The sequence below is a fragment of the Homo sapiens genome, chromosome 5 (genome assembly GCF_000001405.40).
Source record: "Homo sapiens chromosome 5, GRCh38.p14 Primary Assembly".
Classification (NCBI taxonomy): domain Eukaryota; kingdom Metazoa; phylum Chordata; class Mammalia; order Primates; family Hominidae; genus Homo; species Homo sapiens.
Genome location: NC_000005.10, coordinates 56,070,956 through 56,087,647, shown reverse-complemented (window position 1 = coordinate 56,087,647; position 16,692 = coordinate 56,070,956). Strand labels below are relative to the sequence as shown.

The 16,692-nt window shown below is 44.8% G+C and overlaps 4 annotated features.

The window, feature by feature from the left end:
- Positions 4,157–4,818: an enhancer, noted in NCBI's record as "H3K27ac hESC enhancer chr5:55378657-55379318 (GRCh37/hg19 assembly coordinates)". NCBI's record gives its function as "activates a minimal SCP1, AML or CMV promoter by ChIP-STARR-seq in primed H9 embryonic stem cells {active_cell/tissue: H9 hESC(primed)}" and the evidence as "EXISTENCE:reporter gene assay evidence [ECO:0000049][PMID:30033119]".
- Positions 7,282–8,046: an enhancer, noted in NCBI's record as "H3K27ac hESC enhancer chr5:55375429-55376193 (GRCh37/hg19 assembly coordinates)". NCBI's record gives its function as "activates a minimal SCP1, AML or CMV promoter by ChIP-STARR-seq in primed H9 embryonic stem cells {active_cell/tissue: H9 hESC(primed)}" and the evidence as "EXISTENCE:reporter gene assay evidence [ECO:0000049][PMID:30033119]".
- Positions 9,356–9,435: an enhancer, noted in NCBI's record as "active region_22562". NCBI's record gives its function as "activates an Ori minimal core promoter by ATAC-STARR-seq in GM12878 lymphoblastoid cells {active_cell/tissue: GM12878}" and the evidence as "EXISTENCE:reporter gene assay evidence [ECO:0000049][PMID:35858748]".
- Positions 13,179–13,680: an enhancer, noted in NCBI's record as "H3K4me1 hESC enhancer chr5:55369795-55370296 (GRCh37/hg19 assembly coordinates)". NCBI's record gives its function as "activates a minimal SCP1, AML or CMV promoter by ChIP-STARR-seq in primed H9 embryonic stem cells {active_cell/tissue: H9 hESC(primed)}" and the evidence as "EXISTENCE:reporter gene assay evidence [ECO:0000049][PMID:30033119]".

Sequence of the window (16,692 nt, the reverse complement as noted above, 5' to 3'; positions counted from 1 at the left end):
GCTGGGATTACAGTGTGGCCACCACACCCGGCTAATTTTTTTTGTATTTTTAGTAGAGATAGGGTTTCACCATATTGGCCAGGCTGGTCTTGAACTGTTGACCTCAAATGATCCACCCGCCTCGGCCTCTCAAAATGCTGGGATTACAGGCGTGAGCCACCATGCCTGGCCTCCAATGGGACTTCTTAAAAAGCATCTTGGCTGGGCGTGGTAGCTCACTCCTGTAATCCCAGCAACTTGGGAGGCCAAGGCAGGCAGATCACCTGAGGTCAGCAGTTAGAGACCAGCCTGGCCAACACAGTGAAACCCTGTCTCTACTAAAATTACAAAAATTAGCCGGGCATGGTGGCACATGCCTGTAATCCCAGCTACTAGGGAGGCTGAGGCAGGAGAATCGCTTGAACCTGGGAGGCGGAGGTTGCAGTGAGCCAAGATCGCGCCATTGCACTCCAGCCTGGGCGAAGAAGTGAGACTTTGTCTCAAAAAAAAAAAAAAAAAAAAAAAAAAAAGATCATCTCACTTGGCCGGGTTCGGTGGCTCATGCCTGTAATCCCAACACTTTGGGAGGCCGAGGCTAGCGGATCACCCGAGGTCAGGAGTTTGAGACCAGCCTGGCCAACATGGCAAAGCCCTGTTTCTACTAAAAGTACAAAAATTAGCCAGGTGTGGTGGTGTGCACCTGTAATCCCAGCTACTTGGGAGGTTGAGGCAGAAGAATCGCTTGAACTCAGGAGGCAGAGGCTGCAGTGAGCTGAGATCACAACCATTGCACTCCAGCCTGAGTGACAGAATAAGAGACTCCGTCTCAAAAAAAAAAAAAAAAAATCATCTCACTCAATCACCCATGCTGGGAACAATTCCTCTCTGGCTGGCAGCTTACGTCTCCCACTAGTCCCTAGATTCTGACTATTCGTGCTTCTGTTGGGGCCCTTTCTCTGTTCTGAAAGTTTTCTTGGGCAAGATTCATTTTAAGATGATATTGGTTCCTATTTGGTGTTCAGGAGATAGATATGCACTATTGCAGCTTGCTCCTGAGACACCTTCTTTACTCCCAGGTGAGTCTCTCCTGATGGTCATCTCTTAGAAACCCCTCTCCGGCTGAGGTTGGTGGTAGGCGGGAAGTGGGGGCGGGGGAGGACTTGAAACTTCTCTGGAGAATGAGGGGGAAAGGCCCCAGGAGTCCAACTTAACCCAGGGCTTTCCCTCCATCAACTTTTCAACTTCCCAACCTCACAACTAGTTCATTTGAAGCCTAGAGGGGATAATGGGCTAATTGGTTCATACCTCCTAGCACCTACTCTTTCATTCTTTTTTTTTTTTTTTTTTGAGACGGGGTCTCTGTCGCCCAGGCTGGAGTGCAGTGGCGCCATCTCGGCTCACTGCAAGCTCCGCCTCCCGAGTTCACGCCATTCTCCTGCCTCAGCCTCCCGAGTAGCTGGGACTACAGGCGCCCGCCAGCACGCCTGGCTAATTTTGGGGGGTTTTTTTGTATTTTTAGTAGAGACGGGGTTTCACCATGTTAGCCAGGATGGTCCTGACCTCATGATCTGCCTGACCTCGTGATCTGCCCACCTCGGCCTCCCAAAGTGCTGGGATTACAAGTGAGCCACCGCGCCTAGCCCTACTCTTTCATTCTTGATGATACTCACAAACAGGTAAGCAGCTGAACCCCAGAGAAATGTAAATTTCCAAAGGGACATTTGTCTTCAGTTATAACCAAGATTTCACATAAAACAACTCTACAAGCTCTATTTAAGAAACATTTGAATACTTTGATTTTATTCCAATTCAAACATTTCTAGGGGAAAAAAAATGTTTGACGACCCAATTTTGAGTTTATATGATTCCACTGAATGCGTTTTTAGTTTAAGAATAAAAAGTAACTAAGATCTAGTAAAATAAAACAAAATAAAAATAATGTTTTGATTTGGCTCAGGATATTAATTTTGTTTATTCAGCTTTCAGTTCAGATCCTGACTATAGCATTGACCTTATTGACACCTTTCTCCTTGGTCTGAATGGTGGTTTAAGTAAGAAGCTTTGCATCGTACAATTTCCTCTCTATGAAGATAGAAGTGGAGTAGCTTAATCCAGGGAGCCTGGCTGTTCCTGTTAGGTCTCTGCATATTGTTCTATGGTAAGTGTGGGAAAGGGCCCCGTAGATGTCAACCACAAAAGTCAGATGTGTAAGATACAATATTATTTACAGCCTCTGTCAGATATGCTCAAAATATCAGACATATAAACATCTATTTGCTCCAGGAAACCATTGAAAATTCCACTAACTCATAAATAATGACTTCACTGTGCCCTACAATGACCTCCTTTTACCCAGTACTAGCAATTGCATTCCCGCAAGCAAACCAAAAGACAGCTTAGAGATAAGAAACAAGTAGACCAGCTCAAAAATTTTAAAAACAACCCCTAAACAAGTACCGTTGTTAAGTGATGCTAATTTTGCATTAACATTTCCAGGCATCTAGTGAATGGTTAGATGCATATTGTCAACATATATCAAGGATAACCGGGAAACCTATCGCCCTGAGGTCAGTGTTGCTTAGTATCAGTGATTAGTCCTTGGGGCTTTTATGTACCAATCCCTGGAAAAGTGATTTCAGTTTTAATCACCACTGGAATAAAAGGAGGAAACAAATGAAAGTGACCTTATTTCAATATCATTTCAATGGAAGAAACAAGGAAGTGGTTTGTTTGGCTTCTATCCCTATCCCTGGAAAATGGAATGGCCCCCAGTAAAGTGCTGTGTGAATATTATTCTTTATGATGAAAAGAACATGAGGGATCCGGGAGCGCAGGCTCACACCTAAAATCCCAGCACTTTTGGAGGCCAAGGTGGGCGGATCACTTGAGGTCAGGAGTTCGAGACCAACTTGGCCAACATGGTGAAACCTGGTCTATACTAAAAATACAAAAATTAGCCAGGCATGGTGGCCTGTGCCTGTAGTAGTCCCAGCTACTCAGGAGGCTGAGGCAAGAGAATCGCTTGAACCCGGTAGGCGGAGGTTGCAGTGAGCCAAGACTGCACTACTACACTCCAGCCTAAGCAACAGAGTGAAACCTGATCTCAAAAAAAAAAAGAAGAACGTGAGGATAAAAAATTTAATGTTTCAGGACAGACCATGTCATTGAACCACTTTTTCCCCACAAGCAGTGGTTGGAATCACAATCATATATTCAGTAACTATTTGTCTATTTGTGCTGCACACTGTGCAAGGTGTGGGAAATGATCCCATCAACCAGACATATTCCTTTCCTTGGGGGCTTAGAATCATTAGCAGGCAGGCATTGACAATAAAGCATAAGACTTTTGGTAGGGGCCCTGGGAGCACCTAAAATTTAGGAAAGGCTTTAAGAGAGGTCCATATCTCTAACCTGAAATCCAACAAATGAGTTTCAGTTAGCCAGGAAGGGGAAAAGAAAAATTTCAAGAACTACACATAAAAAATAGGGAGATGAGGCTGGGCGCGGTGGCTCACGCCTGTAATCCCAGCACTTCGGGAGGTCGAGGCGGGCGGATCATGAGGTCAGGAGATCGAGACCACCCGGGCTAACACGGTTAAACCCCGTCTCTACTAAAAATACAAAAACAAAATTAGCTGGGCTTGGTGGCGGGCGCCTGTGATCCCAGCTACTTGTTGGGGGTGCTGAGGCAGGAGAATGGCGTGAACCCGGGAGGCGGAGCTTGCAGTGAGCCCAGATCGCGCCACTGCACTCCAGCCTGGGCAACAGAGCGAGACTCCGTCTCAAAAAAAAAAAAAAACTGGGAGATGAGAAGGGGCACTTAGAATAGTACAATTAGTTCAGTATGGCTGAAAGGGGTGGGGATAGGTGTGATGGAAAAAAGACCGAAGAGGCAAGCAAAGAACACAAAATGCAGATCCTTGAAGGTCACATTGAGAAATGTAGACTTTGTCCTGAGGATTACCCTCTATCAAAGAGTTTATGTAATAGAGGGGTGGCGGGGTGACGCGCTCAGATGTGACTGTTTACAGAGGAGGCTGGCTGTAGTAGGAAGAATGGAAAGGAATGGGGCAAAAAATGGAGTCAGGAAGACTAGTTAGGAGGTTGTCAAATTGAGTTGGCGAGAAAGAGAGGAACTCAAACTAACACGGAAGCAGTAAGAACAGACGCGGTGGCAGCCGGGCGCGGTGGCTCCGCCTGTAATCCTAGCACTTTGAGAGGCCGAGGCGGGCGGATTGCTTGAGCTCAGGAGTTCGAAACCAGCCTAGGCAACACAGTGAAACCCCGATTCTACTAAAAATACAAAAAAATTAGCCGAGCATGGCGGCGTGTGCCTGTAGTCCCAGCTACCAGGGAGGCTGAGGGAGGTGAATGGCTTGAACCCGGGAGGCGGAGGTTGCCGTGAGCCGAGATCACCGCTGCAATCCACACTCCAGCCTGGGCGACAGATTTAGACTCCGTCTCCAAAAAAAAAAAAAAAAAAAAAAAAAAAAAAAAAAAAAAGAACAGACTCAGTGGCTCACGCCTGTAATCCCAACACTTTGGGAGGCCAAGGCGGGCGGATTACCTGAGGTCAGGAGTTCGAGACCAGCCCGGCCAACATGGTGAAACCCCATCTCTACTAAAAAATACAAAAATTAGCTAGGCATGGTGGCGCACGCCTATAGTCCCAGCTACTCGGGAGGCTGAGACAGGAGAATTGCTTGAACCTGGGAGGTGGAGGTTGCAGTGAGCCAAGATAGTGCCACTGCACTCCAGCCTGGAAGATAGAGACCTTGTCTCAAAAAAAAAAAAAAAAAAGAAAGTACAGTCTCAAAAAAAAAAAAAAAAAATAGAAAGTACAGTTGTCCTTCCATACTTTCCATATACGCGGGGGATTGGTTCCAGAACTCCACAATTCCATACCAAAATCTGTGCATACTCAAGTCCTGCAGAACCTGCATATATGCCCTCTATGTGAGTGGGTTTCACATCCTGCAAATAATGTATTTTCATTCTGCGTTTGGTTGAAAAATATCCACGTAAAAGTGATCCCCACAGTTCAAACCTGTGTTGTTCGAGGGTCAATTATAAATGGATTTGGAAATAGTCAAGAGATAAAATTGATGGGTCTTGATGATTGATTGGGCATGAGAAATATGGGAGAGGGAAGAGTCCAAGATAACATCAGGACTCTGGCTTGAGCAACAGGAGAAAGGATGGAGCCATCCACTGAGAAAGAGACTATAGTTGGGGAGCAGGCTTGGGAATGGAAATGATGAGCTCTATTTAGGATGTCCGCATTCTAAAATGCTGCTAAGACTTCCATGTGGGGGCCAGCATGGCGGCTCATGCCTGTAATCCCAGCACTTTGGGAGGCCAAGGTAGGCAGATCGCTTCAGCTTAGAAGTTCAAGACCAGCCTGGGCAACATGGGGAAACACTGTCTCTACAAAAAAAAAAAAGAAAGAAAGAAAGAAAAAGAAAAATTAGCCTGCATGGTGGCTCATGTCTGTAGTCCCAGCTACTCTGGAAGCTGAGGTGGGAGGATCACCTGGACCTGGGAGGTTGAGGCTACAGTGAGCCATGATCATGCCACTGCATTCCAGTCTGGGTGACAGAGTGAGACCCTGCCTCAAAAAAAGAAAAAAAAAAGAAAGAAAGACTTCCATGTGGAGATAACAAGTAGACTATTTTTTTTAATTTCCCAAAGATTCTACAATGAACATATTAACAGAAAAATAGCCCACAAAGGATTCTAAGAAGTGTGGTGAAAAGATAGATGTCACCAAACCAAGGAAGACAGTTTCTTTTTTTTTTTTTTTTATTGACAGGGCCTCACTCTGTCACCCAGGCTGGAGTGCAGTGGCACAATCACGGCTCACTGCAGCCTCGGCCTCCCAGGCTCAGGTGATCCTCCCACCTCAGCCTTCTGAGTAGCTGGGACTATAGGCGCATGCCACCATGTCTGGCTAATTTTTTTCAGTTTGTTTTTTAGTAGAGATGGGGTTTTGCCATGTTGCCCAAGCTGGTCTTGAACTCCTGAACTCAAGCAATCCACCCACCTCAACCTCCCCAAGTGTTGGGATTGCAGGCATGAGCCACTCACCCAGCTAGAAGACACTTTCAAGAAGGCCATGGTCACTGGTATCAGCTACTTAGAGCTCAAGTCAGATAATGCTGGGAAAACAGCCTAAAATTGAGCAACAAGGTTGTTAGTGATCTTGGCTGGACCAGTGTCAGAGGAACATTGGGGCAGCAGCCAGATTTCAAGGAGAGTTTCAGGGTGGAGGGTAAGGAAGTGGTGGTGAGTGTGGACACCTGTTTCAATAAACTTAACTGTAACCAAAACAAGTCAGATAAAGAAGTGAATTAAAGGGGTGGGGAAGCTAGGAAGGGTAAGATTTTAAGGATAGAAGACACTTGGGCTTGTTTAAATGCTGATGGCAATGAATCAGCAGCAAGTGAAGCATCAAGAGAGAAAAGGAACTTGCAATGCAGCAATGTCAATGAGGCTGCAAGAGAGATTTAGAGCCTCAGAATTGGCTTTGTCAATGAGATGTCTCTTTCACTATGATGGAGGAGAAGGAGGAAATGATGAATTCCTCTGCAGGTAAGTTTGTGGCAAGAATTTGAGTGAGTTCCTGTCTAGTGGCTTCTAATTTTCTCTTATAAAGTAAAAGAAAAATTCCCCTGATTTAAAAAAAAAAGATATATGTGCCAACTTTACAATCACAAATTATCCCTGATTGTGGTTTCACTTAGGAGTAAAAACAAAACTTGTCATTTAATTGTTCTCTTTCCGTTCTTCAATAGGTAGGTGTTAACACCCAGCCATCAGCTGTGGTCCCAGGTGGTGTCTTAGCCAAGGTCCAGTGAGCAGTGTGGGAACCACACTGCTACTGCTGAATTCCTAGTGCCACCTGGATCACAGGTTTGATTGCTGTATGCTCAGTGAGCCTTCATTCATTGAAACATTGGGGAAGGACAGTGAGAGGAGGGTTTTCTGAAGCTCAAGGAGATCTGGTGGCCCTGGGACAGGATTATTGAAGTGAGTGCTGACCTCAGAGAAGCAGAGGCAAAGGAAAAGGGGAAAAGAACCTAAAGGTCGAAGTCCAGAGAGGGCCAGTGCAGTCTACTCTCAGATTCCCTTAGTCAATTTCCTGAAGCCTACACTGCAGGTTATCCAGAACCTGAAGATGCTAACTAGTTGCCTTGCTCTTTTCACTTAAAAAAAAAAAAAAAAAAGTGTAAGTTCTGTCTTTCATTGTCATTCTCAGCAATCTGCTTTCAAAACTAACCATATAATAAAGTGGTGGCCAAGCTATTTGCCAAAATGCCCCAACCACCAGATCTTTTTTTTTTTTTTTTTTTGAGGCGGAGTTTCGCTCTTGTTGCCTTGGCTGGAGTGCAATGGCGAAGTCTCAGCTCACTGCAACCTCAGCCTTCAGGGGTTCAAGTGATTCTCCTGCCTCAGCCTCCTGAGTAGCTGGGATTACAGGCGCCCGCCACCACGCCCAGATAAGTTTGTAATTTTAGTAGAGACAGGGTATCACCATGTTAGGCTGGTCTCAAACTCCTGCCCTCAGGTGATCCACCCGCCTCCGCCTCCCAAAGTGCTGGGATTACAGGCACGAGCCACCACGCACAGCCCCCAACCACCAGATCTTAAGGAGTAAACAGAGAAACTTCTCCTACTCCTGGCCTTCTGCCCCTACTCTGGGGATCAGGTTTTTGTGTCTCGCAAGGAGGGGGTGCCTTGGGTTCCCTCACCCCCTCCTATACTCACACACATATGGACACACACCCTCCCTAAGCTGCTGCAAAAAGGACAGGCTCAGACCCACCTTACTCAACGTTCTAGAGAAAAAGATTGCCTAAGCTTCCATAGTGACTCTTTCAAAATCAAATATAACGCTCTGATTTTGCCAGCCACTGAAATAAAAGTAGGAAAATAAAGTGGAGTGTGGGGGACAAAAAGGGGAGCCTTGCAGGGAGAGAAAGGAAAAACAAGAAACAGAATTAAGAGGAAGAGCCAGAAAATGAAAAGGTTTAACTGATCCATAAATTGAGAATTTAGTTAAAAGTATAAAGTTCTCTCTTCTCCACTCTTAATTGCCTGTGAAACATTTTACCACGTTCAGGAAGAATAAAATGTGATCTACTCCACCTATAGAAACATAGCTGTTGGAGAGTTTTTCCTTGTAAAAATAAATACACACAAATAGAAATCCAGGCCAAGCGCAGTGGTGCATGCCTGTAATCCCAGCACTTGGAAGGGTGAGGTGGGCGGATCACTTGAGGCCAGGAGATCGAGACCAGCCTGGCCAACATGGTGAAATCCCATCTCCACTAAAAATACAAAAATTAGCTGCACGTGGTGGTGCACACCTGTGATCCCAGCTACTAGGGAGGCTGAGGTAAGGGAATCGCTTGAACCTGGGAGGTGGAGGTTGCAGTGAGCCAAGATTGAGCCACTACACTTTAGCCTGGGAGACAGAGCAAGACTCTGTCTCAAAAAAAGTGAAATCCAGTGAGCCAAAGTAAACAGCTAGACACTCATGTCAAGCTGGAGGCAACTGTCCTTTTAGGGTTTCCAGCCCACACCCCTGATGGCGTAACTCCACTCCTCTTTGTGTTGGAATATTCATGTTTTCTTGCTGACTTTAGCCCAAGTCCTCTGATCTAAACACACAGCTATCTGAACCTTCCCCTTCTCCATTCTCTCCCTGCCCCAGCCTCCCACCCCCTCCCTAACCTATGAAATGAAAAGTAGATCCCTGCTTTTCCTGGCTGATTTCCTGGGGCACCTCAGGCAAGACAATTCTCTATTGACCTTGCGGCAGGGACTACAGCCCCAAACTTACATTTCTCAAGCAAATCAATGGAAACTTCTTTTTTTTTTTTTTTTTACTGGCAGGAGCAGCCACTGGTGCGAAGCATCTGCCTGGAGATCATCAGTCCCAGGGGCAATAGGGTAGGGGTGGTGCTGCTGAATCTAACGTCACTTGGAAAACAGGTTATTTTTCTGGGATGAATTTAAGAGATGTATTGAGTTAGAAGGGGAGGATTTTAACTTCATTTTGAAAAATGGTGGCTCCTGTTTGCTGCTACCCATAATGAAGCCCCGGAGCCCCAAGTTCAAAGGCTTTGACAGCAACTTAAGTGAAGGACCCTGGGGCTTCCTGAGGTTGTTGCTGGCAGCTGTAGGGAGAGCTGTCCAGGCCCTGCTTTATTGGAAAGCTCACACCAGCTGACTGCAAAGCCAGGAAATGGACCTCCAAGCAAAAGATGAGAGAGCATGGGATAGAGGAGCCTTTAGCCTTGGGTTTCAATGCCCTGGGGATTTGCTCCTGGATGATGGGAGCAAAGAGGAGGATAGAAATGGAGGGTTCTTAAGCACTCGGGAGACTGAGGCAGGAGAATTGCTTGAACTCAGGAGGCGAAGGTTGTGGTGAGCCGAGATCGCACCATTGCACTCCAGCCTGGGCAACAAGAGCGAAACTCCATCTCAAAAAAGAAAAAGAAAGAAAGAAAGAAATGGAGGGTTCCTAGAGTGGAGGAGACTCCCACGGTGGTGGCTATGATGTTTCCTTAAGTCAGCTCTACCTTAGGAGTCTGGTGAAGTTTAAATAGCACCATGAAAATGGGACTTTCAAAAGTACTGGCCTGATTTCTTCAATGAGTCAATAACATAGCATGGAGGAAAAGGGGAAGAAAAACTAGAGTCAAAACAATTAAATGCAATGTGTTGCCCCTGAGAAGATTCTGGTTTGAATAAACCAGTTATAAAAGACTTTCTGAGGGCAGTTGATATTTAGGAACTTTTTTTTTTTTTTTTTTTTTTGAGACAGGGTCTCGCTCTGTCGCTCAAGCTGGAGTGCAGTGGCACGATCATGGCTCACTGCAACTTCTGCCTCCCAGGTTCAAGTGATTCTCCTGCCTCAGCCACCAGAGTAGCTGGGACTACAGGCACGCGCCACAATGCCAGGCTAATTTTTGTATTTTTAAAGACAGGGTTTCACTGTTGTCCAGGTTAGTCTCGAACTCCTGAGCTCAAGTGATCCGCCTGCATTGGCCTCCCAAAGTGCTGGGATTACAGGCATGAGCCACTGCACCCAGCCAGGAACTATTACATTAATTAATTTACTTACTTATTTTCCTTTATGGGAACGAGGTCTCGCTCTGTCCCCCAGGCTGGAGTGCAGTGGTGTGATCATGGGTCACTGCAGCCTTGCAGTGAACTCCCAGGTTCAAGTGATCCTCCTGCTTCAGCCCCACAGGTAGCTGGGACTATAGGCGCTCACCACCACACCCAGCTAATTTTTTATTTTTTGTAGAGACAGGGTTTCGTCATGTTGCCCAGGCTAGGAACTATTATTTATTTTATTAGGTGTAATAATGTGTGATAATAATATAGAATACAGTATTATGGTTCTGTGGGGAGACATCCTTATTTTAGAGATGCATACATGAGTATTTAGGGGTAAAACATCATTATATCTGAAATCTACTTTTAAATATTTGGGCAAAAAGAACAGATGAAGTAAATATGGCAAGTGTTGCAATCAAGGGAAATCTGGATAAAGGGGTATTCATTATACTATTCTGTATACTTTCTGTTTATTTGAAAATGTGCAATCTTAAAAGTTACAAATAAACAAAAAAGTCAAGGACAATATAGGAAGATGGGGAAAGTTCCCATACAGGTCCCCGGGCAGATCCCCAACACCAATTTACAGGACTATGGGCCAGGCTCAGAGCCAAGAATGGAGGGATGAATAAAATCCAAGTTGTTTTGTTTTGTTTTTTGGAGACATGGTCTCACTGTCACCCATTGGATTGCAGTGGCATGATCATGGCTCACTGCAGCCTCAACCTCCTGGGCTCAAGCAATCCTCCTACCTCAGCCTCCCAAGTAGCTGGGACTAAAGGTGCACACCAGCATGCCCCACTGATTTTTTAACTTTTTTTTTGTAGAGATAAGGTCTCACTTTATTGCCCAGGCTGGTTTTGAATTCCTCGCCTCAAGCAATCCTCCTTCAGCATCCCAAAGTGCTGGTATTACAGGCATGAGCCACCTCCCCTGGCAAAATCCAGTTTTTTTTTCTTCAGGAGATAACAGTTTATTGTGAAGGGCAAGCAGAACACGTGGAAAAGGGGATACGGGAAAGAGAGTCATCAGAGGAGGTGGCAACCTAGCTTAATACACCCCTGGAGTGGCGTAAAATCTGAGAGGGGGAGAACAAGTTTTCTGAGGGTCTCTGTATAGGGGTCACTGGCCAACAAAACCTTTTCTTTTCTTTTCTTTTTTTTTTGAGATGGAGTCTCCCTCTGTTGCCCAGGCTGGAGTGCAGTGGTGCAATCTCAGCTCACTGCAAGCTGTGCCTCCCGGGTTCACGCCATTCTCCTGCCTCAGCCTCCCAAGTAGCTGGGACTACAGGCACCCACCACCTCGCCCGACTAATTTTTTGTATTTTTAGTAGAGACGGGGTTTCACAGTGTTAGCCAGGACAGTCTCGATCTCCTGACTTCATGGATCCACCCGCCTCGGCCTCCCAAAGTGCTGGGATTACAGGCGTGAGCCACCGCGCCTGGCCTCAACAAAGCCTTTTCTCAGAAAAGACAAAACTGGGTCACCACAAGGTGAAGATGGCCTTAACAGTGACAGAGAGACTGCTGGGCAGGCCCAAAGTTTAAGGCAGGGGCTGGTAGCCCTCCCCAGCCAATCTCTTCACCCATCCTGGTGCCCCACTTTCCTAACCCAAAGGCCCTGGCCTTGAGTTCCAGATCCCTGTTCTGCTTTCAGGAAAGAGCTCCACAGTAAATCTCTACCCCTGCTTGGGGCCCCAGGGTCCAGATATTTTTTCAAACAACACTTAATTCTCCTTAAATGCAACTAATCCACTTCCTATGAGTGCCTTGACCTAACAAGAGGCAGGCAAGACCAGTGAGGAACTAGAGACATTCAAGATCAGCAGGTTAAATATGTCCTCACAGTTCCCAGGCAGCGTTCCCCACAGCCCAGCTCATGATCCAGGACCCTACTGCTTCCAAAAGGAATAACAGAGACATCTGGAGATCATCTAATGCGCTTGGTTAAAGGAAAAAAGAGGCCATAAATTACTCAGAAGACCTTTCACAATGGCCTTAGAACAGTTGGAATACTGCCACAGAGAGGTTTGAAAGGAAACTTGGAGAACTTCTGGTCCAACCTTCCACCCAGCATGGAATCCCTTTTACTTCACAGTTTATGCCAAATTGATCCATCAGAGAGTGTGTTACTGTTTCTCCTAAGGAGAGGCCACACATGTGATTACAGTTAGTCTGCAAACTGAGACATTGGCACTGGAGACTGATGATCAAGAAAAAAGCAAAACAAAACAAAATGAACTTTGTTTCACACCCAGATCTTTCTTTGCTAAGGAAAATACTTTTCAAGTTTATTTTCCCAATGTTGGAATGTGAACTAAAGGGATCTGAAGCTTTTCTGGCTAGGGACAATCCTTCAACTTTAGGTAAAATGCAGCCACCTTAGATTGGGTTAGGTCCTAAAGGTAAAAAATGTGTATGCTCAATTTTAAGATCCCTTTAATTTCCCTAAAAGTAAGATATAGAGTCAGAGTTTCTTCCAGTATTTGAACCTAGTTCCATGTCCTGCTTGCCCTGTGTTGTTGTTGTTGTTGTTGTTGTTGTTGTTGTTGTTGTTGTTTTAGAGACAGAGTCTCACTCTGTCTCCCAGGCTGGAGTGCAGTGGCATGATCATAACTCACTACAGCCTCAAACTCCTGGACTCAAGCAACCCTCCTCCCTCAGCCTCCTAAGTAAGCTGGGACAACCAGCATGCACTACCATGCCCAGCTAATTTTTTAAAAAATTTTTTGTAGAAACTGGGTCTCACTATATTGCCCAGGCTGGTCTAGCACTCCTAGGCTCAAGTGATCCTCCCACCTCGGCTTCCCAAAGTGTTGGAATTACAGGCATGAGCCACCTTGCAGCCAATGTTGTATTTTTTAAAAAGAAGCAGGGCGTGGTGGCTCACACCTGTAATCTTGGCACTTTGGGAGGCTGAGTCAGGAAGATCGCATGAAACCAGGAATTCCAGACCAGCCTGAGCAACATAGCAAGACCTCCATCTCTACAAAACATAAAAAATAACCAGGCATGGTGGCATGCCCCTGTGGTCCCAGCAGCTCAGGAGGCTGAGGTGGAAGGATCACTTGAGCCCAGGAGGTTGAGGCTGCAGTAAGCCATGATTGTACCTTGCACTCCAGACTGGGCAAGAGAGTGAGACAAGAAAGAAAGAGAGAGGCTGGGTGCGGTGGCTTACCCCCTGTAATCCCACCACTTTGGGAGGCCGAGGCAGGCAGATCACCTGAGGTCAGGAGTTCGAGACCAGCCTGACCAACATGGAGAAACCCTGTCTCTACTAAAAACACAAAATTAGCCGGGTGTGGTGGTGGACGCCTGTAATCCTAGCTACTCGGGAGGCTGAGGCAGGAGAATCGCTTGAACCTAGGAGGTGGAGGTTGCAAGATTGTGGAGCCGAGATTGTGCCATTGCACTCCAGCCTGGGTAACGAGCAAAACTCTGTCTCAAAAAAAAAAAAAAAAAAAAAAGAAAGGAAGGAAGGAAGGGAGAGAAAGAGAGAGAGAGAGAGAAATTCATCTTGAAGCAATAGAGTCACACTCAGAGACAGGTACTTAGGTACTCTGAACCCATGGAATGGAGAGCCCATCCAGCAAAGGCAGGTGCCAGCCTCCTGGTGCATACCCTGGGGCATGAGCCTTGGAGAGCAATGGCAGACAGTACCACCTCACCAAGTTGCCTTTTTCCTCTCTCACTTATTCTAGTGCACATATATTTGGTTTTTCAAAAGCTAAATATGCCAATGATGTAATTCCAGACTGAAGTTTAAAGAGTTCCATTTTCATTAGTCCATTTTCTTGTTCTATTTTGTAAGGTCTCAGTAGGATTTGTACAATTGCATTATGATTGAGCATTACAAATAGAGTCTGCTTTCTAGGAGTGGACAGCAAGGTTGAAAGAGAAGAATCTAGGAGGTTAAACTGCCAAAGAACAATACAGAAAAATTTGCAAGCAAATACCATCGTGGTTTGTGATAAGAAGTGCTAAGGCTATTCCTAGAAGTGAAATCACTGCAAACTGGGGAGAACCTTGTGAGTGAATGGGCGGGAGGTGGGAGGTTAGGGCCTCAGATCAGACCAGCATGGCAGTGTTACGCTGCCACTTACTAGCTATGTGGCTTTCTAAGTCTCAGCTTCACTTCTCTTAAATGGAGATAATAATACTTACTTACCTCCTAAGGCTATTATGAAGGTTAAATAAGATAGTGTATGTAAGTGCCTGGCACATAGTGAGCACTCAGTAAATGCTGTCATTATTCTAAACAAGGCCTTAAAGCATGAGTCAAATTTAAACAAGCAGAGGGGTGGGGACAAGAAAGTAGAGACCAGGCTTTGTGGCCATCTGGAGTGAAGATAATGCGGAGGATGTAAAGCAGTGATGCACTGGCACGGGTTCTGATCCTGGTTCTCTTATTTCCTTGTGATCTGGGGCAAGTATGCTCTGTGCTTCAGTTACCTCATCTATTAAATGAAGATGACAATATGTAGTCAATTACCACATGGGATTAAATGAGATATTATATCTTAAATGTTCAGCACAATATCTTAAAACGCACACATAAGAAACTGGTGAGCCATGGGGGACTCTGGGGAAAAAGGTTAGGGAACAAGAATGGAAAGGAGACTTATTTTATGTACATCTCACTTCATGCCCTTTAATTTCTTTTAAATGTTTTACTGGGTTTCTTCAATTTCTTTCAAATGTTTTACCAATTCAAAAAAAATTTTTAATCTCAAAAAACATATGCCAAAAAAAAAAACACAAATAGAAATCCAAGCTGGACGCGGTGGCTCATGCCTGTAATCCCAGCACTTTGGGAGGCTGAGGCGGGTGGATCGCTCAAGGTCAGGAGTTTGAGACCAGCCTGGCCAACATGGTGAAACCCTGTCTCTACTAAAAATACAAAAAAATTAGCCAGGCATGGTGGTGGGGGCGCTGTAATCCCAGCTACTTGAGAGGCTGAGGCAGAAGAATTGCTTGAAACAGGGAGGCAGAGGTTGCAGTGAGCCGAGATGGCGCCACTGCACTCCAGCCTGAGAGACTGAGGGAGACTCCATCTCAAAAAAAAAAAAAAAAAAAAAGAGAGACATCAGTACAGAGCCTAGTACATATATGGCTACAGTATACTAATCTATCCCACATGGAATAAGACCACATTCTTTCTCACCCTGCTAAAAGAGTACAGAATAATTTATAATTTCAGTAGAAAGCCAAAATCTGCCAAAGCAATATTTTGAAAAATAAGATTTGCAAAGCAAATGCTGAAATCATGTTTAGCTTCTTAAGGAAACGAAGTTTTCAAATACTTAAAGTAGTTTTAGCAGCACCTATTTAGATAAGAACAATTAATTGTCCTCATTACAATTTTTTTCCTTAAGGCATTTGAGCAATCCCAGGAGGATTTCTACTTGTTTTCTCAGCTATTTAAGTATTAAGGAGTATGCTTTAAAATAATAAATTTATATTTACCTTTAAAATTATTGTCTAGTTTACATTTTAATTCAGATCAGATCTCTTTGAGACTATTCTGACTTACTGAGAGTTCATTGTAGTTGTATGCCTCAAAACAATTAACAAGTGTTTCTTCTCCCTACGTTGGACCTGAGCTTAGTTTGCTTTCCCTTCCTTCTTTCTTTTCTTCTTGTATATTCCTCCCCATTTCTTTCCCACACAAAATTTCCTATAAAAACACATTTGTGGATAAGCTTGCTATGTTCTTATCGGCAGCTCTGTGGTCTCCAAGCAAAGATGTCAATTCTAAAATGTTTCCCCAGAGACCCATGGATCAGAAGGTTGTTAAATCAGCCCTGAGGATCCCAGGCGCTGCCTTCCAGCCCTGGATCAGAGCCCTGTCCCTACTGGGTATTCACACTTACCTGGTTCCCCAGCACATACAACCTTTTGGAGGTCTGGGAGGGAATCACTGCCAGGAAGCAGCTGCAAGGACTCAGTTACTACAAGGCACCATAGCATATTGGGGAATCTTCCTACGTTCAACTGATATTTTACTTTTAAAAAATCTGATCATTTTACATTCTGTGTTAAATGATCATCAGCGGGCCTTGCCTTTTTTCATATAAACTCAACCTATGACTCTTTCCTCCTACTACAGGAAACCTATTGTGTGGCAAATATGCCAACACTGCTTCAATCTCAGAGTAAAATTACAAGAAAAAAAGAGGAAACACCCTAAGCCTAAACCACATGCTTGAGGTTTCATTTTAAAATAGGCAGATCCTATTCTAATTTTTCTCCAAGTCACGTGCAATATTTTTCTAGAAGTACATTTTGCTTTTTACTTTTCAGGTTGGAGATTGTTTTTCCATCTGGCTTTTCTGCTTTCAACTCAGTTACAAAACTGTAGTCAACATTTTCACAGGTTGTCAATGGAAACCTGATTATGGCTCCTCATCCAAGAAGAAAAAATAAAATTGAGTTGAATAGAGGACAAGATAGTACAGAAAATGCATTCAGATTTATCAGACTTTCCCAACTTCCTGCTGTTTGCTTTACAAAACAGAGCAAATCTCACATTCCTCCCGTTTAGTCCCAAAACACTTCTAGGGAAATTCTGTCACATGACAGC